Raw genomic sequence first — 20,589 nt, forward strand, 5'->3', positions numbered from 1 at the left:
TGCACATGGCTTTTTGTTGTTGTTGTTGAGACAGGGTCTCACTCTGTTGCCCAGGCTGGAGTGCAGTGGCGTGAACATAGCTCACTACAGCCACAACCTCCCGAGCTTAGGTGATCCTCAGCCTTCTAAGTAGCCAGGACTACAGGCACATGCCACACAGCTGGCTAAGTTTTTCATATTTTTGGTAGAGACAGGGTTTCACTACGTTGCCCAGTCTGGTCGCGAATTCCTGGGCTCAAAGGATTCACCCTCCTCAACCTCCCAAAGTGCTGGGATTACAGGCGTGAGCCATGGTGCCCAGTCACCACACGGACGCCTTCTCTCCGGTGTCTGTGGCTTCAAGCTCCATGTCTTGCTTACACAGACACCCGTCATTGGGTTTAGAACCCACCCTAAATCCAGGATGATCTCATCTCGAGATTCTTAACTTGATGACATCTGCAAAGACCCTATTTTCTTTTCTTTTCTTTTTTTTTTTTTTTGAGACGGAGTCTTGCTCTGTCTACAGGCTGGAGTGCAACAGCACAATCTCAGCTCACTGCAATCTCTGCCTCCCTGCAATCTCTGCCTCCCTGCTTCAAGCTATTCTCCTGCCTCAGCCTCCTGAGTAGCTGGGATTACAGGTGTGCGCCACCACGCCCGGCTAATTTTTTTGTCTTTTTAGTAGAGACGGGGTTTCACCGTGTTAACCAGGATGGTCTTGATCTCCTGACCTCGTGATCCACCCGCCTCGGCCTCCCAAAGTGCTGGGATTACAGGCGTGAGCCACTGCGCCCGGCCTCGCAAAGAACCTATTTTCAAATCAGGTCACCTTCACAAGTGCTGGGAGTTACGTCGTGGACGTGTCTTTCGGGGAGGGGTCATTATCAAGTAACTACAGCTGCCGTGGGGAACAGGATTAGGCAATCCGCTGGCCCCTCCCCACATGGACTGAGAAAGGTGAGGACGACTGGCTCAACCCTGGAGAGAAGGTGAAGGAGGCACCGAGATGACAGAGACAGGGAGAGGGACAGAGACAGGGAGAGGGACAGAGAGGGCTACTATGCTCCACTGTCTGCTGGAAACCCTGTTGACAAAGGAGGAAGCAACCCAGGGAAGCTCCCGCAGGTCCCAGCTCAGAACTAACAGCTACCCCTGACTCTGCGGGCCCAGAGCAGATCACTGCCAGCCGGCCCCTGTGGGCTCTTTGGCCTGCGCTCCCTGGCACGTGGGATCCCTTGGCCCCATCTGGAGGAAGCCCCACCGAGCCAGAGCCAGGGGAAGAACTGATGGCTGGACCCCAGGCCCAAGGCAGATGCCACCCAGGCCCTTCTTTCGGTTCTGCAAATGCCACTGGCTCTGCTGGCTCTGAGCGCAGAGTCCAGCCCCCATGCACATGACTATGTGGTGCCCTCAGCCCCCGCACGGGTCAGAGTTTTCCGTGTGCCGCCTCCTCGTCCTTCTTCTTCTGCCGAATGCCTGGAATTCCACAGGAATTTCCACAGAGGCCCACCCCACTCTGAGCCTCCTAGTGAAGGAAACAAAGGCCAGCTCTGAGGCCCGGGGCTGGGAGGGCTGAGCTGGCAGCCACTCCAGAGATTTGCTGTCTTAGATAGGAAAGGACGGCCTGGGATCCTGCACCCATGATACCCTCTTGGAGGCCCTACTTTGGGGCCTGGGAAAGGAGGTCTCTCTAGCCCCGTCACCCCTGCATACACATAAGTGCATCCCCCAACACACGTGCACACAGGAACCAGACACATCACGCTGGAGGCAAGATGGGTAGACATATTCCCAGGGGTGCACCCATCCACACGGACCTGGGGCAGCCCAGGGCCACCTGAACAGGGAAGTGGCCCAGCCTGAGTATTGCCTTGGAGCAAGCCAGCCAGGGCTCCAATCTCAGCTCTGCAACCTCAGGCAAGTTACTCAACCTCTCTGTGCCTCCCTCACCTCATTTGCAAATAGTAGTGTCAGAGGGGTTTGAACCAGAGCAACTCCATCTTGAATAGGGGCTGGGTAAAATGAGGCTGAAACCTACTGGGCTGCATTTCCAGACTGTTAGGCATTCTAAGTCACGGGATGAGATAAAAGGTCAACACAAGATACAGATCTAAATACTTTGCTGATAAAATAGGTTGCAGTAAAGACGCCGGCCAAAACTCACCAAAACCAAGACGGCGACGAGGGCGAACTCTGGTCTTCCTCACTGCTACACTCCCACCAGCACCATGACAGTTTACAAATGTCATGGCAACGTCAGGAAGTTACCCTAGATGGTCCAAAAAGGGGAGGCATGAATAATCCACCCCTCATTCAGCATATAGTCAAGAAATAACCTTAAAAATGGGCGACCAGCAGTCCTCACATGGGGCTGCTCTGTCTAAGGAGTGGCCATTCTTTATTCCTTTTCTTTCCTAATAAACTTGCTTTCACTTTACGGACTTGCCCTGAATTCTTTCTTGCACGAGACCCAAGAACCCTCTCTTGGAGTCTGGATCGGGACCCCTTTCTGGTAACAGTAGTACCCACCTGAAAGGGTTGCTGTGAGGATTAACTGAATTGATGCATGGATAGCACCCAAACCCTGGAACATAGGAAGTGCCACATATATGTTTGCTGTGATTAGTGGCATCACACACGCAGACATGTGTAAGGCCACTTAGCAATACACAGACACATGCAGAGGGACATACAGAACCTCAACAACTCACATGCAAATGGACACACAGACATGAATACACATGTGCAGAGACTCATATGGGCACTTATACACACATGCACACAGGTGAGACCATCTTTGCAAAAATTATAACAGAAAATTGTGACAGTGAAGGAGACCTGATCTAACCAACCCCCATCTTGCCTTTCACCTCCAAACTGCTCTTCATCATTCCTGGACTTGGGCCAAACTAACTCTGGGGAACATTTAGTTTACAGTTTAAGTGATACTTTTGTTTTTAGTGTACAGTTTAATGATAATGATTCCCTTCCCCAAAACTCAACCGCCTTTGTGAAGGTAACAAAAGGCCACCAGGTTACGAAGCTAAGGAATGAGAGAAAGCTAAATTCTGCTAAGGTGTAGACATACATGATTACCAGCCATTATTCCAGAGGCCACAAGATTTGCAACTTCCCCTATTGCCCCTGCAGATAACATCACTATTGTAGAATCTAAGATCGGCCTTTTGAAACGTCTTCTCAGGTTTTTGCATTTCTGACGATCCACTGAGGACTCAGTGCACATGAGGACCATTTTCCATAACCCTATGATTGCATCCCCAACCAGTCAGCAGCACCCATTCCCTGGCCAGACGAACTATCCTTGAAAAACCCTAGCCTCTGAATTTTCAGGGAGACTGACTTGAGTCATAAAACTCTGGTCTCTACCAGGCATGGTGGCTCACATCTGTAATCCCAGCACTTTGGGAGGCCAAGGCGGTAGATCACTTGAGGTGAGGAGTTCAGGACCAGCCTGGCTAACCTGGTGAAACCCCGTCTCTACTAAAAATGCAAAAACTAGCTGGGCGTGTTGGTGGGCACCTATAATCCCAGCTATTTGGGAGGCTGAGGCAGGAGAATCGATTGAACCCGGGAAGCGGAGGTTGCAGAGAGCTGAGATCACGCCATTGCACTCCAGCCTGGGCATCACAGTGAGACTCCATCTCAAAAATAAAATAAAATAAAATAAAATAAAATAAAATAAAATAAAATAAAATAAAATAAAACTCCAGTCTCCTATTCAGCCAGCTCTGTGTGAATTAAACTCCTTCTCCCTTGCAAATTCCCCTGTCATGATAAATCAGCTCTATCTGGGCAGTGGGCAAAAGAATCTATTAGGTGGTTATACGGATACACAAATGCACATTCAGAGCATAAAGACAGATGCACCCACAGTGATTGTGCAAACGCTTGCATAGACACACACGCATGCACGCATGTAGATACCAATCAACGCTGGGGCGATGTCTGCAACCAGCCCTCCAGCCAGAGCCAACCCCTGTACTGGTTCATGATGGTTCCAGTGCTTCCTCTCCCTCTCCCCTCCCTTATGCCCTCCACCCTGGCTCACCTTTGTCCAGGACACACCTGGGAGTGGCCATGGGGACAAGAAGCCTTCCACGTCCTTCAACAGGCTCCTTTGTCACCTCTCGGGTTATAATACACCAGCTCACACACAGGCCAGTTTCTGTCCGCCTGACTGCAGATATCCCCAAAGTGCCCACTTCAAGGAGGAAATGAGACCCTGGGCCGCAGTAGCCTCTGACCCCATATCTGTCTCTCTGACCAAGGGGAAGAAAAATGCCCAAACTGCAACAGCTCCCACCTGTCTCCCTTCCTCTGGGCCAGTGTCCCCACAGGGACCCTTTTTGTCAACGGCGCCTCAGCCCAGACCATGTGGATTAAAAGCTTTCCTCTGTGGGACATACGGAGCATTTCTGAGCCACACTCCCAGTACCTTTTTGACTCCTCGAAGACCTGTGTCGCAGGTGGCAGGGTTCCACACCTACACGGGCACATGGGGCCAGACTCGGGCTCTGGGTAGCACAAAGACACGGGGTATTTACAGGAGATGTGGCTGGAGGGTCTGGAAGAACAAAACACTAGGGTCATCACAGGCTGGGTTATTTTTCCTCCCCAAGGCTCAGTCTGCTCATCTGTAAAAGGGGGTGAGAAGAACCGCCATCTGTACTGGGCACGAACATTGTGTGGGGCTACCCAGGCTCTGAGCTCCATCCCAAGCATGGAGAAATTTCCCTCCTTAGAAGGCTTGCAATTCTCCAGCCTCCTCGGAGCCGGGCTGGGGCAATCAGGTGTGCTTGCTCCAGATGGAATGGGTGCTAGTGAAGCAGCGTCGTTGTCTGGGGTAAATACCCGAGATTTGTTGTCTGACAGCCATGCAAAACTAGGATGCGGACACACCAGACTGAAGTTAAGAGCAGAAGTGTAATAGGCGAAAGAAAGAGAAGCGCTCTCTGCGAAGAAAGGGGTCCCAGAGAAAATGGGTTACTGCTTCCGCAGTGGAATGCAGAAGGTTTTACAGATGAGCTTGAGAAGGCGGAGTCTGATTTACATAGGGCATGAAGATTGGTCAGACCAGGTGTGCTATTTGCATAGCACGTGAAGAACTGGTTAGGACTAGGTGTACCTTTTGCATAGTGCATGAAGAAGCTGGCTGCCCCACCCTAATCTTTTATTATGCAGATGAGCTCTCTACCTGGCCAATGCCAATGTTGCCTGTTCCTTTACGGTACACACGATGACAAAGAAAAGGGAAAATAGAGCCCCCGTGTTGAACACACCTGGCCTTCAGGTAGCCTTTTCCTATTGGCACAGCTGCCGGCATTCACCTGTGCAATCTTCCAGCTTGCTTATCTATGTCTGCAGCTCGATTTTCCAGGCTGCTCTTTGTCAGAAAAGAAATGATGTGGAGGCTACTTTTTATTAAAAGTGAAATTCCACCGAGGACTCTGTTGCCCTTACTATCTGCCTAAATAATTTATTTTTCTTTTTTTTTTTTTGAGATGGAGTCTAGCTTTGTTGCCCAGACTGGAGTGCAGTGGCACAATCTCAGCTCACTGCAGCCTCCGCCTCCCAGGTTCCAGTGATTCTCCTGCCTCAGCCTCCTGGGTAGCTGGGATTACAGGCGCACACCACCAGCGTGCTCATCTGTAAAAGTGAGCCCAGCTAATTTTTGTATTTTTAGTAGAGATGGGGTTTCACCATGTTGGCCGGGCTGGTCTCAAACTCCTGATCTCAGGTGATTCGCCCACCTCGGCCTCCCACAGTGCTATGATTATAGGCGCAGGCCACCGCGCCTGGTCTGCCTAAATAATTTCTTTCTATCTCCTGTATCACCAGCACCACAGAGAAGTGGAGAAGGGGCCTCACAGTAGGTGGCAGGAACGCCCATCTCTTTGGGTCAGTGTGGCTGCCTTGGGTCCAGGCTTGCAGCCTGGGAATGGAGCCACAGTAGAGTGGTCCAGTTCTGGGCATTCATTGGTGGCTCACTCTCTATCCCATCTTCAGTGCTGGGGCAGAACTACTCAGTCCTCTTTCTGTAAATTCTTCTTCTGCTTACATCAGCCAAGTCTGTTTCTGCTGCTGGCAGCTGGGGACCTGGGCTCACCTATGGCCTGGTAAAACTGCCGTGAGGAGCAAATGAAACAATCCACCAAGGACTCAGCACAGTGCCTGCCCATGAGGGGCACACAGCACGTGCACAAGCCTGCTATTCACAGCATAGGCTGCACGCAGCGGCTCACGCCTATATTCCCAGCTGAGGTGGGAGGATCACTTGAGCCCAGGAGTTCAAGACCAGCCTAGGCAACATAAGGAGCTCCTGTCTCCACAAAAAATTTAAAAATTAGCCAGGCATGCCGGTGGTGCCTGTAGTCCCAGCTACTCCAGAGGCTGAGGTGGGAGCATCACTTGGCCCTAGGAGTTTGAGGCTTCAATGAGCCATGATTGTGCCACTGCATGCTAGTCTGGGTGACAGAGTGAGAACCTTCCTCAAAAAAAAAAAAAAAAACTATATATATATATATCTATATCTATATCTATATCTATATCTATATATCTATATATATCTATATATATCTATATATCTATATATATCTATATATATCTATATATATCTATATATATCTATATATATCTATATATCTATATATATCTATATATATATCTATATATATATCTATATATATATCTATATCTATCTATCTATCTATATATATATATCTATCTATATAGATAGATAGATAGATAGATAGATATGATTAGCCCAGCTCTGTCACCTGCCAGCCAGGAACCTGAGTACATCACATCACCTCCTGGCCTCAGTTTTCTCAACTGTAAGATGGGAACAGTAATAGTCCACTTCCCCATAGGTTTGGGGTGATGATTAAATGAGATAATGCACATAACAAGTGCTCAGTATTTCCCACTGATGATAGTGCTTGCCTTCACATGGTAACAGCATGATTTCTTTGAGTTTTATGAAATAAGAACTGAGTAGGTGTCCTCAAACTCAGAGGGAAAAAATACATTGGAGCTGGGTATGGTGGCTCACGCCTATAATCCCAGTACTTTGGGAGGCCGAGGCAGGCGCATCACGAGATCAGGAGTTTAAGACCAGCCTGACCAACATGATGAAACCCAGTCTTTACTAAAAATACAAAAATTAGCCGGGCGTGGTGGTGCATGTCTGTAATTCCAGCTACTCAGGAGGCTGAGGCAGGAGAATCATTTGAACCCAGGAGGTGGAGGTTGCAGTGAGCTGAGATCACGCCTCTGCACTCCAGCCTGGGCCGACAGAGCAAGACTCTGTCTCAAAAAAAAAAAAAAAAAAAAAAAAAAAAAAAAAAAAAAAACCCTGGAAATTTAGCATCTAACTTTAATTCCTAATGGAGCAATTCTCATGTTAATATTAGTAGATTTCCAATAGGAATCACAGGTATTTTTAATTCCACAATCTCATTTTAGATATACATAGCTGGCTACCTTTTTAACCTGTGTATTTTTTTTTTTGCATTGAAAAAATATTCTGGATAGTAAACTTTAGTTATTTAAACGCGTAACAAATTGTTCAAGGAAATGGGTACTGACGTCAACAACTTATTGTGAAATGCATCCAAAAAGTAAGATGTGTAGAGTGACGGATGCATGGGTGAATGGTTAGGTAGAGAGAGGGATAGAGGGATGGATGGATGGATGAGTAAACAAATGGGTAGAGGTTAGAGGGATGGTTAGAGGGAGACAGGAATGGATGCATAGATGGTCAGAGGTAGGGATGGATGGATGAATAAATGGATGGGTAGATGTATGGATGGGTAGATGGATGAATGGTTAGAGGGAGAGAGGGATGGATGGATAAATGGTTAGAGGGAGGAATGGATGGATGGATAAATGGATGGATGGGTGGTTAGAGGGTGGGAGGGATAGACGGGGCATGGATAGATGGGTAGACGAATGAATGATTAGTGGGGGGAAGAATAAATGGGTGAGTGGTGGATGCATGGGTGGATAGATGGGTGGATGGATGGTTAGAAGGAGGGAGGGATGGATGGGTGGGTGGGATGCATGGATGGGTGGGTGGATGGATGGATGGATGAATGGATGGATAGATGGATGGACAAATAGGACAAAATGTTATCTGGGTGATGTATACATAGGTATTCCCCGTATAGTTCTTTCAACTTTTCTTTATATTTGGACATTTTTACAATAAAACTTTGGAAGAAAGATTTTTAAAAAAAAAAAAGAAAAAAGAATGAAACAGAGAGAAAAGGACATCCAAAGTCTGGGCAAAGAAAAAAGATTCATCTTTAAAATAATCTTTTTAGGCCAGGTGCAGTGGCTCATGCCTGTAATCCCATCAATTTGGGAGGCCGAGGAGGGCGGATCACTTGAGGTCAGGAGTTCAAGACCAGCCTGGCCAACATGGTGAAACCCCATCTCTACTAAAAACACAAAAATTAGCCAGGGCCTCTGCCTCCTAAGCTCAAGAGATCCTACCCTCTCAGCCCCCCAAGTAGCTGGGAGTACAGGCGAGAGCCACCATGCCCGGATAATTTTTGTATGTTTCGCAGAGACATAGTTTCACTGTGTTACCCAGGCTGGTCTTGAACTCCTGGCTCAAGCAATCCACCTGCCTTAGCCTCCCAAAGTGCTGAGATTACACGTGTGAGCCACCGCACCCGGCCAACAATGTGTCGATGTGGATAACCTTGTTTGTTGACTGTCCTCTCAGTAGAAAGGGAGGTCCACTCTGCCAGGGCTGGGTCCTTATTAGGCATTCACGGCTGGATCCGCAGGGCTGAGCACTGCATCCAGCACATAGTAGCTGCTCAGCACATGTTCGTGGAGCGACTGAGTGTGTAAGTCAGTGAATGAACAAACGAATGAAGGGGTTCTCGCTCTGATACTTGTTCTGCAGCCTGGGAAACTGAAGCTCAGAGATGAAGTGACTTCACCGAGGTCACACGGACAGTGGGCGGCAGAACTGGAGCTACCTACGCAATTGGGATTATGAAATATTTCACAAGTGCCAAGAAGTGCACATGATGCAGGGCTCTAGAAGGCTTCCTCTTTGATTTGTCACAGTCCCTGCAGCAGAGAGGCAGCCCAAGGCTCTGCAAATCACTGCCACTTCATCACGGCTGCAGCCACCCTTGTGCAGGCCCCAGCTCGAGGTCTTCTCACTCGATGCTGGTATGGGGGTGATGATCATCCATCTGGCAGGTCACAAGGACAACCCTCGGGATGGGAAATCTGATCCTAATTGCTGAGTCACAGCTAAAGGGCAGAATGACGTCGTCTGTAACCATGGCATGCATTCCAAACTCAGCCCCAGCTTGGCTTCTCCTCAAGTTTGAGTGAGCCCCTGTCAGTCTACACCACCCCTCCTCATGTTCGGCTGTTTTCAAGCCGGCACACTGGCAAAGATGCTGCCAGGAAAGAAGGAAGCCAAGCCCAGGGAGAGGAGAGAGCTGGTTTGCTGTGGGTGGCCAGGAACAAGGTCCCGTGTGTGGAGGAGACAGAACACAGTCATGATATCAGGCCGGGAGCAGTGGCTGACTCCTGTAATCTCAGAATTTGGGGAGGCTGAGGTGGGAGGACGGCTCGAGCCCAGGAGTTCAAGACCAGCCTGGGAAACATAAGGAAACCCATCTCTATTTAAAAAAAAAAATCAGCCAAGCATGGTGGTGCATACCTGTAGTATCTGCCACATGGGAGGCTGGGGCAGGAGGGTTGCTTGAGCCCAGGAGGTCGAGGCTCCTGTGAGCCGTGATTATGCCATTGCACTCCAGCCTGGGCGACAGAGGGAGACCCTGTCTCCAAGAAAGAAAGAAAAAGAGAGGGGAGGGGAAGAGGGGAAGGGTAAAGGCCACATACTGGCATGTACAGCCTCCCCTGCCTGACCCCCATTCCCAGGAGCCCCTTTCAGAGAGTAAAGAGAGCTGGAACAAGGGAGCAATGCTGACGGAAGGACAGACAGACAGATGGACAGACTGCACTGGGGGCAGAAGGGCCCGCAGGCTCCAGACGAGCACGATCAGCAGGAGAAAGCAGGCCATGCGCAGGTGATGTGGGTGCCAGAAGCAACCCAGCAGATAGAGGAATTCCAATAACCGCACAGCACTCAAGTAAAATAAAAACACCGTGACTTCGCAGCAAGCCAGTATGGCCCCCTAGAGGCCAAGGGCAGAATTTTATTTTTATCTATCTATCTCTCTGTCTATCTCTCTATCTGTCTGTCTATCTATCTATTTTCGAGACAGAATCTCCCTTTGTCGCCCAGGATGGAGTGCAGTGATGTGATCTCGGCTCACTGCAACCTCCGCCTCCAGGCTTCAAGTGATTCCCCTGCCTCAGCCTCCCAGGTAGCTGGAATTATAGGTGCGAGCCATCGCAGCCAGTTAATTTTTGTATTTTTAGTAGAGACGGGGTTTCACCATGTTGGCCAGGCTGGTCTCTTAACTCCTGCCCTTGGCCTCCCAAAGTGCTGGGATTACAGGCATGAGCCACCGCGCTGAGCCTGTTGAGGCAAAGCATAACCCCAGATCCTCCTAGCCAATGGACCCCTCGCTTCTGAAACAGTTCCGGTGGTCAAGTTCTGGGCATGTCCTGGACTTCTTGGTTTTGCGCGGAGGAATCACTAGTTCTGGGTGTTGATAGACATCAAAGCTTTTCCAACTGTGCATGTCTGGGATACCTGACTTGCTGTGTTGGCTCAGTTATATCTGCCAGGTAACTTGACCTTCTGTTATCAACAGAGTAGGTCCAGTTTGGGCTGGTCTTGCAGTTGTGTTTTCTTGAGGAACGGTTTGGGCTCAACCTGTCTTTCCAATCAGCTGAAACTGGAGCATCCCTCAGCCTCAGTTTCCCCAATATCCTGAACTCTGCTCCCTACATCGTGCACAAAGGCCAGATTTCTTATGAAACCATGTGGTGCAGGGTTAGAAAGAGACAGCCCTGGCCGAGCATGGTGGCTCATACCTGTAATCCCAGCACTTTGGGAGGCTGAGGCAGGCAGATCACCTGAGGTCAGGAGTTCGAGACCAGCCTGGCCAACATAGCGAAAGCCCGTCTCTACTAAAAATGCCAAAAAAATTAGCCAGGCATGGTGGCCCATGCCTGTAATCCCAGGAGGCTGAGGCAGGAGAATCTCTTGAACCCAGGAGGCGGAGGCTGCAGTGAGCCAAGATCCCAGCACTGCACTCCAGCCTGGCCAACAGAGGGAGACTCTGTCTCAAAAAAAAAAAAAAAAAAAAGACAAAAAAGAAAGAGACAGCCCTTCTGTGCCCCCTGCCTGGGCAAATGACACCTCCACCCACATAGGCTCAAAGCTGGGGAGCAAGATATCCTCCTTACCACTGCCCTCTCCCACCCCCCACCTTTCCCAAACCCTCACAGGGCACAGCACAGACTACTCTGCACCCCAATATCCACTCTCCCCTTCTTCCAAAGCAATAGGACTTCCAATACGTAGCTGGGCACAGCTACCCAGAAATAAGACCACATTTCCCAGCCTCCCTTGTATATAGGTGTGGCCAAGGGGTTAAATTCTAGCCAATAGGATGTGTGCAAAAGTGAACTGCGCAGGTCCCTGCATGTGTCTCTAAGGGAAAGGGCAGGTCTACCTCCATCATTAGCTTCCCTTCTCCTTTCCCCTTCCTGGCAGTTGGAGTGTAGGAGAGGGTGACCATCCGATTTGGACAATAAGAGCAAAGACAATCGTTTAGGGAAAATGGAGCAACAAGGTAGGAGGAGCCTGGGTCCCTGATGCCTTGGAATAGCCAAACCAGAGCTGCGACACTTACTTACACCAGGACTGACTCTATGTTAAAGGGAAACAGAGGCCGGGTGTGGTGGCTTACGCCTGTAATCCCAGCACTCTGGGAGGCCGAGGCAGGCAGATCACTTGAGGCTAGGAGTTCGAGACCAGCCTGGCCAACATGGCAAAATCCTATCTCTACAAAAAATACAAAAATTAGCCGGGCGTGGTTGTGGGCGCCTATAGTCTCAGCTACTCAGGAGGGTGATGTAGGAGAATCATTTGAGCCCAGGAGACTGAGGCTGCAGTGAGCTGTGATTGCACCACTGCACTCCAGGCTGGGCAACATAGCAAGAAACTGTCTCAAAAAAAAAAAAAAAAAAAAAAAAGGAAACAATCGTTTGTTGTTTAAACCAGTTATTTTAAGTCTTCAAAATGGCAGGTGAACCAGTGTCCCAACTAATAAAATCACCAAGTTCTGTGCATTTTGCCTCGTGCTGGTCACCTCAATTCATCTACTTCTTTTCTTCTTTTTTATTTTGAGACAGAGTTTCGCTCTTGTTGCCCAGGCTGGAATGCAATGGCATGATCGGCTCACTGCAAACTCCGCCTCCCGGGTTCAAGCAATTCTCCTGCCTCAGCCTCCTGAGCAGCTGGGATTACAGGCATGTGCCACCACACCTGGCTAATTTTGTATTTTTAGTAGAGACGGGGTTTCTCCATGTTGGTCAGGCTCGTCTCAAACTCCCGACCTCAGGTGATCCACCCGCCTCGGCCTCCCAAAGTGGTGGGATTACAGGCATGAGCCACCGCACCCGGCCATCTACTTCTTTTCATCTCCACCGACCCCAACCCATGCAAAGACATGGTCCCCTCCATCCCTTCCCTCACTTCCTGAGCTGCAAACTCACCAGCTTTCTATCAGTTACTCGAATGTATCAGGCTCACTCCGGCAGCGGAGCCTTAACACATGCTACTGCCTGCTTCTTCCTCTCTTCATCTAATCACCTCCTATTTTTCCTTCAGATCTCAGCGTGACCACCAGCTCCTCTTCAAGAAAAGCTGTTAGTGACTACTCTGATAGGGCAGAGCCCCTGTTATGAAATCCCACAGCACCACGAACCTCTCCTGCATAACATGTATCATAAGTTAGGATTTAAAATCCCCTGAGGGGAACGAGGAATCCATTCCCCAGATCACAGACACACAGGGTTTTTCACTGCGGCACTGCTAGTGATAGCATAACGTGAGAAACTCAAGCATCCACCAAGAAGGAACTGGTTGAATAATCTATGGCACAGCCACACAGAAGAGTACTATGCAGCAATATAAAGAAATGAGGCCGGGCGCGGTGGCTCACGCCTGTAATCCCAGCACTTTGGGAGGTCAAGACAGGCGGATCACGAGGTCAGGAGATCCAGACCATTCTGGCTAACACAGTGAAACTCTGTCTCTACTAAAAATACAAAAAATTAGCCAGGCGTGGTGGCACACGCCTGTAGTCCCAGCTACTCAGGAGGCTGAGGCAGGAGAATCCTTTGAACACGGGAGGCGGAGGTTGCAGTGAGCCGAGATCATGCCATTGCACTCCGGCCTGGAAGATAGAGAGAGACTCGTCTCACAAAAAAAAAAAAAAAAAAAAAAAAAAAAGGAAAGAGAAAAAAGAAATGAGAAGGCCGGGCACAGTGGCTCACGCCTGTAATCCTAACATCTTGGGAGGCCGAGGCGGGCAGATCATCTGAGGTCAGGAGTTCCAGACCAGCCTGGCCATCATGGTAAAACCCCGTCTCTACTAAAAATACAAAAATTAGCCAGGTGTGGATGCCTGTAATCCCAGCTGCTCAAGAGGCTGAGGCAGGAGAATCGCTTAAACCCAGGAGATGGAGGTTGCAGTGACCCAAGATCGCGCCATTGCACTACAGGCTGGGCAACAGAGCGAGACTCCATCTCAAAAAAAAAAAAAAAATGTTTCCTTATCCTACAATGCAGTGGTCTCCAGGATATATGGTTAAGCAAAAAAAAATAAATAACTGTTCAGGTGTGGTGACTCACATCTGTAATCCCAGAACTTTGGGAGGCCGTGGCAGGTGGATCACATGAGGTCAGGAGTTCGAGACCAGCCTGGCCAACATGACAAAACCTCATCTCTACTAAAAATACAAAAATTAGCTGGGCATGGTGGCGGGCGCCTGTAATTCCAGCTACACAGGAGGCTGAGACAGGAGAATTGCTTGAACCCTGGAGGCAGAGGTTGCAGTGAGCCGAGGTTGCACCACTGCACTCTAGCCTGGGTGATGGAGTGAGACTCTGTCTCAAAAAAAATTTTAAATAAATAAATAAATAACAGTATCCAAGGATCAGAACTATGAATGCAAAGCATGCTACCTACCTTCTCAATACACCTGTGGTTTGTATATGTTTGTTCACATTTTCAAAGAAAAACGATGGAATGATAAAGCCAACATGGGTATTTACAGGGTAAGAGGAGGCAGACTGGTGATGGAGGGGTGGAAGCTCAGCTTCTCTGAGTGTGTCTTGTTTCAGAGTTTCTATTTGGTAAATGTAAATATTTTACAAAATTACAAAGTAAAATCAAAGACAAAAAGACCGATCCCTTAAAATAAAAAAAAAAAGTAAAAAACCCTGAGTATATGCCAATTTGGCATAACCACACTAAGAAGGATTATTGGAAGTGACTTTTTTCCTTTTTTTTTTTTTTCCAGACAGAGTCTCACTCTGTCACCCAGGCTGGAGTGCAGTGGCACAATCTCAGCTCATTGCAATCTCTGCCTCCTGGGTTCAAGCAATTCTCGTGCCTCAGCCTCCCGACATACCTGGGATCACGGGAAGGCATTGCCATGCCCGGCAAATTTTTTTGTAATTTTAGTAGGGATGGGGTTTCACCATGTCAGCCAGTCTGGTCTTGACCTCCTGACCTAAGGTGATCTGCCCACCTTGGCCTCCCAAAGTGCTGGGATTGCAGGTGTGAGCCACTGCACCCAGCCTCTTCTTTTTTTTTTTAACTTTCATTTGAAGTTCAGGGGTACAAGTGCAGGTTTATTACATAGGTCAACCTGTGTCATGGGGGTTTGTTGTACAGATTATTTCATCACCTAAGCATTAAGCCTAGTACACATTAGTTATTTTTCCTGATCCTCTCCCTCCTCCCACCCTCCACCCTCCAAAAGGCCCCAGTGTATGTTGTTCCCCTGTATGTGTCCGTGTGTTCTGCCATTGAGCTCACAGAAAGTGACTTTAAAATAGCATTTTGAGGCTGGGCACGGTGGCTTATGCTTGTAATCCCAGCACTTTGGGAAGCCGAAGCGGGCAGATCATGAGATCAGGTGTTTAAGGCCAGCCTGGTCAATATGGTGAAACCCCGTCTCTACTAAAAATACAAAAATTAGCCAGGTGTGGTGGCACATGCCTGTAATCCCAGCTACTTGGGAGGCTGAGGCAGAAGAATTGCTTGAACCCGGGAGGTGGAGGTTGCAGTGAGCTAAGATCGTGCCACTGCACTCCAGCCAGGGTGACAGAGCGAGACTCTGTCTCAAAAAACAAAAATAGCATTTTGAGCCAGGCACAGTGGCTCATGCCTGTAATCCCAGCACTTTGGGAGGCCAGGAGTTCGAGACCAGCCTGGCCAACTGTAATCCTAGCTACCCGGGAGGCTGATGCATGAGAATTGCTTGAACCCAGGAGGCAGAGGTTGCAGTGAGCCGAGATTGTGCCACTGCACTCCAGCCTGGGCAACAGAGCGAGACACCATCTCAAAAAAAAAAAAAAAAAAGCATTTTGAGCAGGGCACAGTGGTTCATGCCTATAATCCCAGCACTTTGGGAGGCCAAGAGTTCGAGACCAGCCTGGCCAACATGGTGAAACCCTGTCTCTATCTACTAATAATAAAAAATGAGCTGGGAGTGGTGGCACACATATGTAATCCTAGCTACCCAGGAGGCTGACGCAGGAGAATTGCTTGAACCCAGGAGGCAGAGGTTGCAGTGAGCCGAGATTGTGCCACTGTACTCCAGCCTGGATAACAGAGCGAAACTCTGTCTCAAAAAAAAAAAAAAAAAATAGCACTTTGATTGTATTATACCAGATATTATATATCTCTAGTGGGTTTTACCCTAAGGACAAAAGAACCACCATGAAACAGAACTACATTGAAATCCTCACCTGTACTCAGTTATCTTATAGGTAGTGATTATATTAGCATTCTGACAGTGAAGCTGTCAGGTTTTTGCCATCTCTTGCTTCCTCTCTCACCACATGATCTCTGCACATGCCTGCTCCCTCTTTGCTATCCACCATGAGTGGACACGGCCCAAGGCCCTCACCAAATCCAGCTGCCCAATCTTCAACTATTTTTTTTTTCTTTTTTCGAGATGGAGTCTTGCTTTGTCACCCAGGCTGGAGTGCGATGGCACCATCTTGGCTCACTGCAACTTCTGCCTCCTGGGTTCAAGCAATTCTCCTGCCTCAGCCTCCCAGGTAGCTAGGATTACAGGCGCCTGCCTCCACACTCAGCTAATTTTTTGTATTTTTAGTAGAGATGGGGTTTCACCATGTTGGCCAGGCTGGTTTCGAACTCCTGACCTCAAAAGATCCGCCTGCCTCGGCATCCCAGAGTGCTAGGATTACAGGCATGAGCCACCACGCCTGGTCCCAATCTTGAACTTTTAAACCTCTTTTCTTTGTAAATTTTTAAAAAGAAATGATTATCTTTGTAATATAGGATAAAGAAAATAAGAAATTGGCCGAGCACGGGGGCTCACACCTGTAATCTCAGAACTTTGGGAGGCCAAGGCGGGTGTATCGTTTGAGCTCACGAGTTTGAGACCTCCTCAAACTGGCGAAACCTTGTCTCTATTAAAAAATACAAAAACTAGCCAGGCTTGGTGGTGCATGCCTGTAGTCCCAGCTACTTAGGAGGCTGAGGTGGAAGGATGGCTTGAGCCCAGGAGGTAGAGGTTGCAGTGAGCCAAGATTATGCCACTGCACTCCAGCATGGGTGATACAACCAGACCTTGACTCAAAAAGAGAGAAAGAAAGACAGGAATGAAGGAATGAAGGAAGGAAGGAAGGAAGGAAGGAAGAAATTGTGTTAATGTTGTTAGAAACCCAGATTTTCTATGTTAGAAAAAAGGAGATATATGCCGGGCCTGGTGGCTCACACCTGTAATCCCAGCACTCTGGGAGGCCGAGGTAGGCGGATCACCTGAGGTTAGGAGTCTGAGACCAGCCTTGCCAATTTGGTGAAAACTCATCTCTACTAAAAAATACAAAAATTAGCTGAGTGTGGTGGTGCACCTGTAGTCCCAGCTACTCGGGAGGCTGAGACAAGAGAATCGCTTGAACCTGGGAGGCAGAGGTTGCAGTGAGCTGAAATCACACCACTGCACTCCAGCCTGGGAGACAGAGCAAGACTCTGTCATAAAAAAAAAAAAAAAAAAAAAAAAAGAAAAAAAAAAGGCCGGGTGCAGTTGCTCACACCTGTAATCCCAGCACTTTGGAGGCCGAGGCAGGCAAATCACAAGGTCAGGAGTTCAAGACCAGCCTGACCAACATGGTGAAACCCCGTCTCTACTGAAAATACCAAAATTAGCTGGGCATGGTGGTGCATACCTGTAATCCCAGTTCTCAGGAGGCTGAGGCAGGACAATCACTTGAAACCGGGAGGCGGAGGTTGCAGTGAGCCAAGATCATGCCACTGCACTCCAGCCTGGGCAACCGAACGAGACTCAGCCTCAAAAAAAAAAAAGAAAAAGAAAAGAAAAAATAAAATAAAACAAAGAAACTCTCAGAGACTATTGAGGTCCCTTCGAAGGTGAAGGACATCATGCAAAGACGTTCCTGTACTGACTATGATTCTGAGTGCTTTACAAGTTTTTTGATTGTTTGTTTGTTTGAGACGGAGTCTCACTCTGTTTCCTAGGCTGGAGTGCAGTGGCATGATCTCGGCTCACTGCAACCTCTGCCCCCCAGGTTCAAGTAATTCTCCTACCTCAACCTCTGAGTAGCTGGGATTACAGGTGAGCCACCACACCCAGCTAATTTTTGTACTTTTAGTAGAGATAGGGTTTCACCATGTTGCACGGGCTGGTCTTGAACTCCTGGCCTCAAGTGATCCATCCACCTCAGCCTCCCAAAGTCCTGGGATTACAGGCATGAGTCATCACACCCGGCCCTTTACAAGTATTAACTCACCCCTAGGAATATTATGCTTAACCTCATTTAATCCTCATAACATGCCTATTAGGAGGGCACGTGATTATGCTTCTTTTATACATGAGGAAACTGAGTCACAGGGAGATTACTAAGAAAATTGCCCAGGATCATGAAGCTGGTGGGTGGCTCAGCCAATATTTGCATTCGGGAAGTCTGACCCTAGAGTCCAAGGCCTTAACCATCTTCTGAGCTTCCTCTTCACTAACGTAGGTGATTTCACATAAAAGTAGAATAGGAAAACAAAGGAGGCCAACTGTCGTAGCTCATGCCGGCCATCCTAGTGCTTTGGGAGGCCGAGGTGGGAGGATTACTTGAGGACAGGAGCTTGTAACCAGCCTGAGCAACATAGCAAGATCCTGTCTCCATGAAAAAAAAAAATTAACTTAGCCAGGTGTAGTGGTGCACACCTGTAGTCCCAGCTATTTGGGAGGCTGATGCGGGGAGGATTGCTTGAGCCTACGAAGCTGAGGCTGCAGTGACCTGTGATCTCACTACTGCACTCTAGCCTGGGCAACAGAATAAGACCCTGTCTCAAAAAGAAATTTACAAATAAAAATTTAAAAGAAAAGGAAAATAAGCCGGGCACGGGGGCTCATGCCTGTAATGCCGGCACTTTGGGAGGCTGAGTTGGGCGGATTGCATGAGCTCAGGAGTTCAAGACTAGCCTGGGCAACATGGCAAAACCCCATCTCTACTAAAAATACAAAAATTAGCCAGGTGTGGTGTGTGGTGGTGCATGCTTGTAGTCCTAGCAACTCGAGAGGCTGAGGTACTAGAATCGCTTGAACCTGGGAAACGGAGGCTTTAGTGAGCCAAGATGGCCCCACTTTACTCCAGCTTGGGCAACAGAGCGAGACTCTTATCTCCAAAAAAAAAAAAAAAAAAGAAGAAGAAAAGAAAAAGAAAAAGAAAAGAAAGGAAAGGAAAGGAAAGGTCCAGAGGCTTGACAGAAACTCGGGAATGGTGGGGATAAAGGGGTGTGGTTCAGAACCATGGACAGCGCGCGCGCGCGCGCACACACACACACACACACACACACACACACACACACACACCACCAATCTTACCGCCTTGTTAGTACACAGTGCCTATAATCAGGGCTTTCAGAGGCTGACACCAGTGGGATCAGAGGCCAGCTGGGATGTGCTTGGCCCCATATCTTTTTTTTTTTTTTCTGAGACGGAATCTTGCTCTGTCACCCAGGCTGGAAGGCAGTGGCGCGATCTCAGCTCACTGCAACCTCCACCGGGTTCAAAGGATTCTCCTGCCTCAGCCTCCCAAGTAGTTGGGATTACAGGCACCCGCCACCATGCCTGGCTAGGTTTTGTATTTTTAGTATAGACTGGGTTTCACCATGCTGGCCAGGCTGGTCTGGAACTCCTGACCTCAGGTGATCCACCCACCTCGGTCTCCCAAAGTGCTGAGATTACAGGCCTGAGCCACTGTGCCTGGCCTCGGCCCCGTATCTGGGTTAGTTGCTGATCAAGCTTTCATGACACCCAGGCTCTCTGCCAGCCACATCTCACCTCCTCCTGACCTGCCTGGGGCCACCTAGGCTCTCTTCGTCAAGGCCACCCCTTAATAATAGGGATCGCCATTTAATTCTTGAAAATGCTCAGCCAGGTGGGAACGAGCATTCCCACTTCCCAGGTGGGGAAACTGAGGCTCAGAACGGTATCCAACTGCCGAGTTCATGCACCTGCGAAGCGGCTGCTTCTGGTACTGCGCCCTTGTGGCTCCCCATTGCCTCCCTCTTGTTGGCTCATGCTTCCCAGGAGGGTGAGCATGGGGTGCTGGTGGCCCTTGCTGAGAAGTGAGTCGCCCTCATTTTGTGTTTGTGTCATCCCCACAGCTACAGCTGGGAGCTGGGAGGAGGCATCTGAGCCGATGAACTAGGGGTAAGAAGGCTGCTTCTCCCAGCGAGAAAGGACCCAGCTCTCAAAGCACCTGACAATTCTACCTCCAGAAGATTCCTGGAACCTGTCCCCATTCCTTCCTCCCCAAAGCCCCAGCCCCAGCTCAGGCCATCATCAGCTCTTGCCCACACTGTAGGAGCCTCCTCCCTGGTCTTCCTGCCTCCTCCCTCGCCTCCCCGAATCTGCTTCCTGCAAGAGAGATGCAGACAGATGCCAGATACACTTTGAAAGTGGAATTGACAGGGCTTGTGACAAAATGGACAAATGAGTATATTTAGCTGCCACCAACAACGGTGTGACTCCCTTCTCTACCCAGGCCTAATTTTGTTTCTTTCAAGATAATTACCCAATAACGTGGGATCCTCAGGCTCACCAGAAGGCCCAGGCTGGAGGCCTTTCTGCTGGAGGCCATGTCAGGGGCAGCAAATTAGTGATTATGAGTGACGATTCTGCACTTTCTCTAACAATTAACGGGCCAGGAAATACAAAGGAGAGAACCGTTATAGACCAAAGGGGCTCTAAGAGATGTAGCAACCAAATGTGACATTTGGACTTTGTCTCTTGACTTGACCCAATGAACCATAAAAATATATTTAGGAAACAATGGAGGAGATATGGCATTTTTAGACGATATTAATGAATCATATCAAATGATACAATGCCGGAGACCTGAAATAGAAT

At 48.8% G+C, this 20,589-nt stretch overlaps 1 protein-coding gene and 1 long non-coding RNA gene across 6 annotated transcripts in view, besides 2 other annotated features; one reads left to right on the plus strand and one right to left on the minus strand.

Annotated features, from left to right (window-relative positions):
• Positions 1 to 8,931, minus strand: part of LITAF (lipopolysaccharide induced TNF factor) — a 92,596-nt gene extending 83,665 nt beyond the window's left edge. The window contains exons 1-3 of one of the 5 annotated variants that reach the window (XM_047434928.1): positions 8,711 to 8,931; positions 4,439 to 4,567; positions 2,147 to 2,251 (exon numbers count right to left, since the gene is read on the minus strand). In XM_047434928.1, the coding sequence (XP_047290884.1) occupies positions 2,147 to 2,231 (85 nt within the window). In that variant the 5' untranslated portion in view covers positions 2,232 to 2,251; positions 4,439 to 4,567; positions 8,711 to 8,931. Of the gene's footprint in view, positions 1 to 2,146; positions 2,252 to 4,438; positions 4,992 to 8,710 lie in introns of those variants that run through there. The other 4 variants (XM_047434929.1, XM_047434927.1, XM_011522754.4 and 1 more) reach the window with 4 other exon arrangements.
• LOC124903643 (uncharacterized) lies at positions 9,076 to 10,161 on the plus strand. The gene is made up of 2 exons (XR_007064986.1): positions 9,076 to 9,566; positions 9,919 to 10,161. It is a non-coding gene; the product is annotated as an uncharacterized LOC124903643 (long non-coding RNA).
• Positions 9,147 to 9,441: an enhancer, noted in NCBI's record as "tiled region #8349; HepG2 Activating non-DNase unmatched - State 1:Tss, and K562 Activating DNase unmatched - State 20:ReprD". NCBI's record gives its function as "activates a minimal TATA promoter and a strong SV40 promoter by Sharpr-MPRA in HepG2 and K562 cells {active_cell/tissue: HepG2 | K562}" and the evidence as "EXISTENCE:reporter gene assay evidence [ECO:0000049][PMID:27701403]".
• Positions 10,391 to 11,054: an enhancer, noted in NCBI's record as "H3K27ac hESC enhancer chr16:11735633-11736296 (GRCh37/hg19 assembly coordinates)". NCBI's record gives its function as "activates a minimal SCP1, AML or CMV promoter by ChIP-STARR-seq in primed H9 embryonic stem cells {active_cell/tissue: H9 hESC(primed)}" and the evidence as "EXISTENCE:reporter gene assay evidence [ECO:0000049][PMID:30033119]".

This window comes from Homo sapiens, chromosome 16 (genome assembly GCF_000001405.40).
Source record: "Homo sapiens chromosome 16, GRCh38.p14 Primary Assembly".
NCBI lineage: Eukaryota > Metazoa > Chordata > Mammalia > Primates > Hominidae > Homo > Homo sapiens.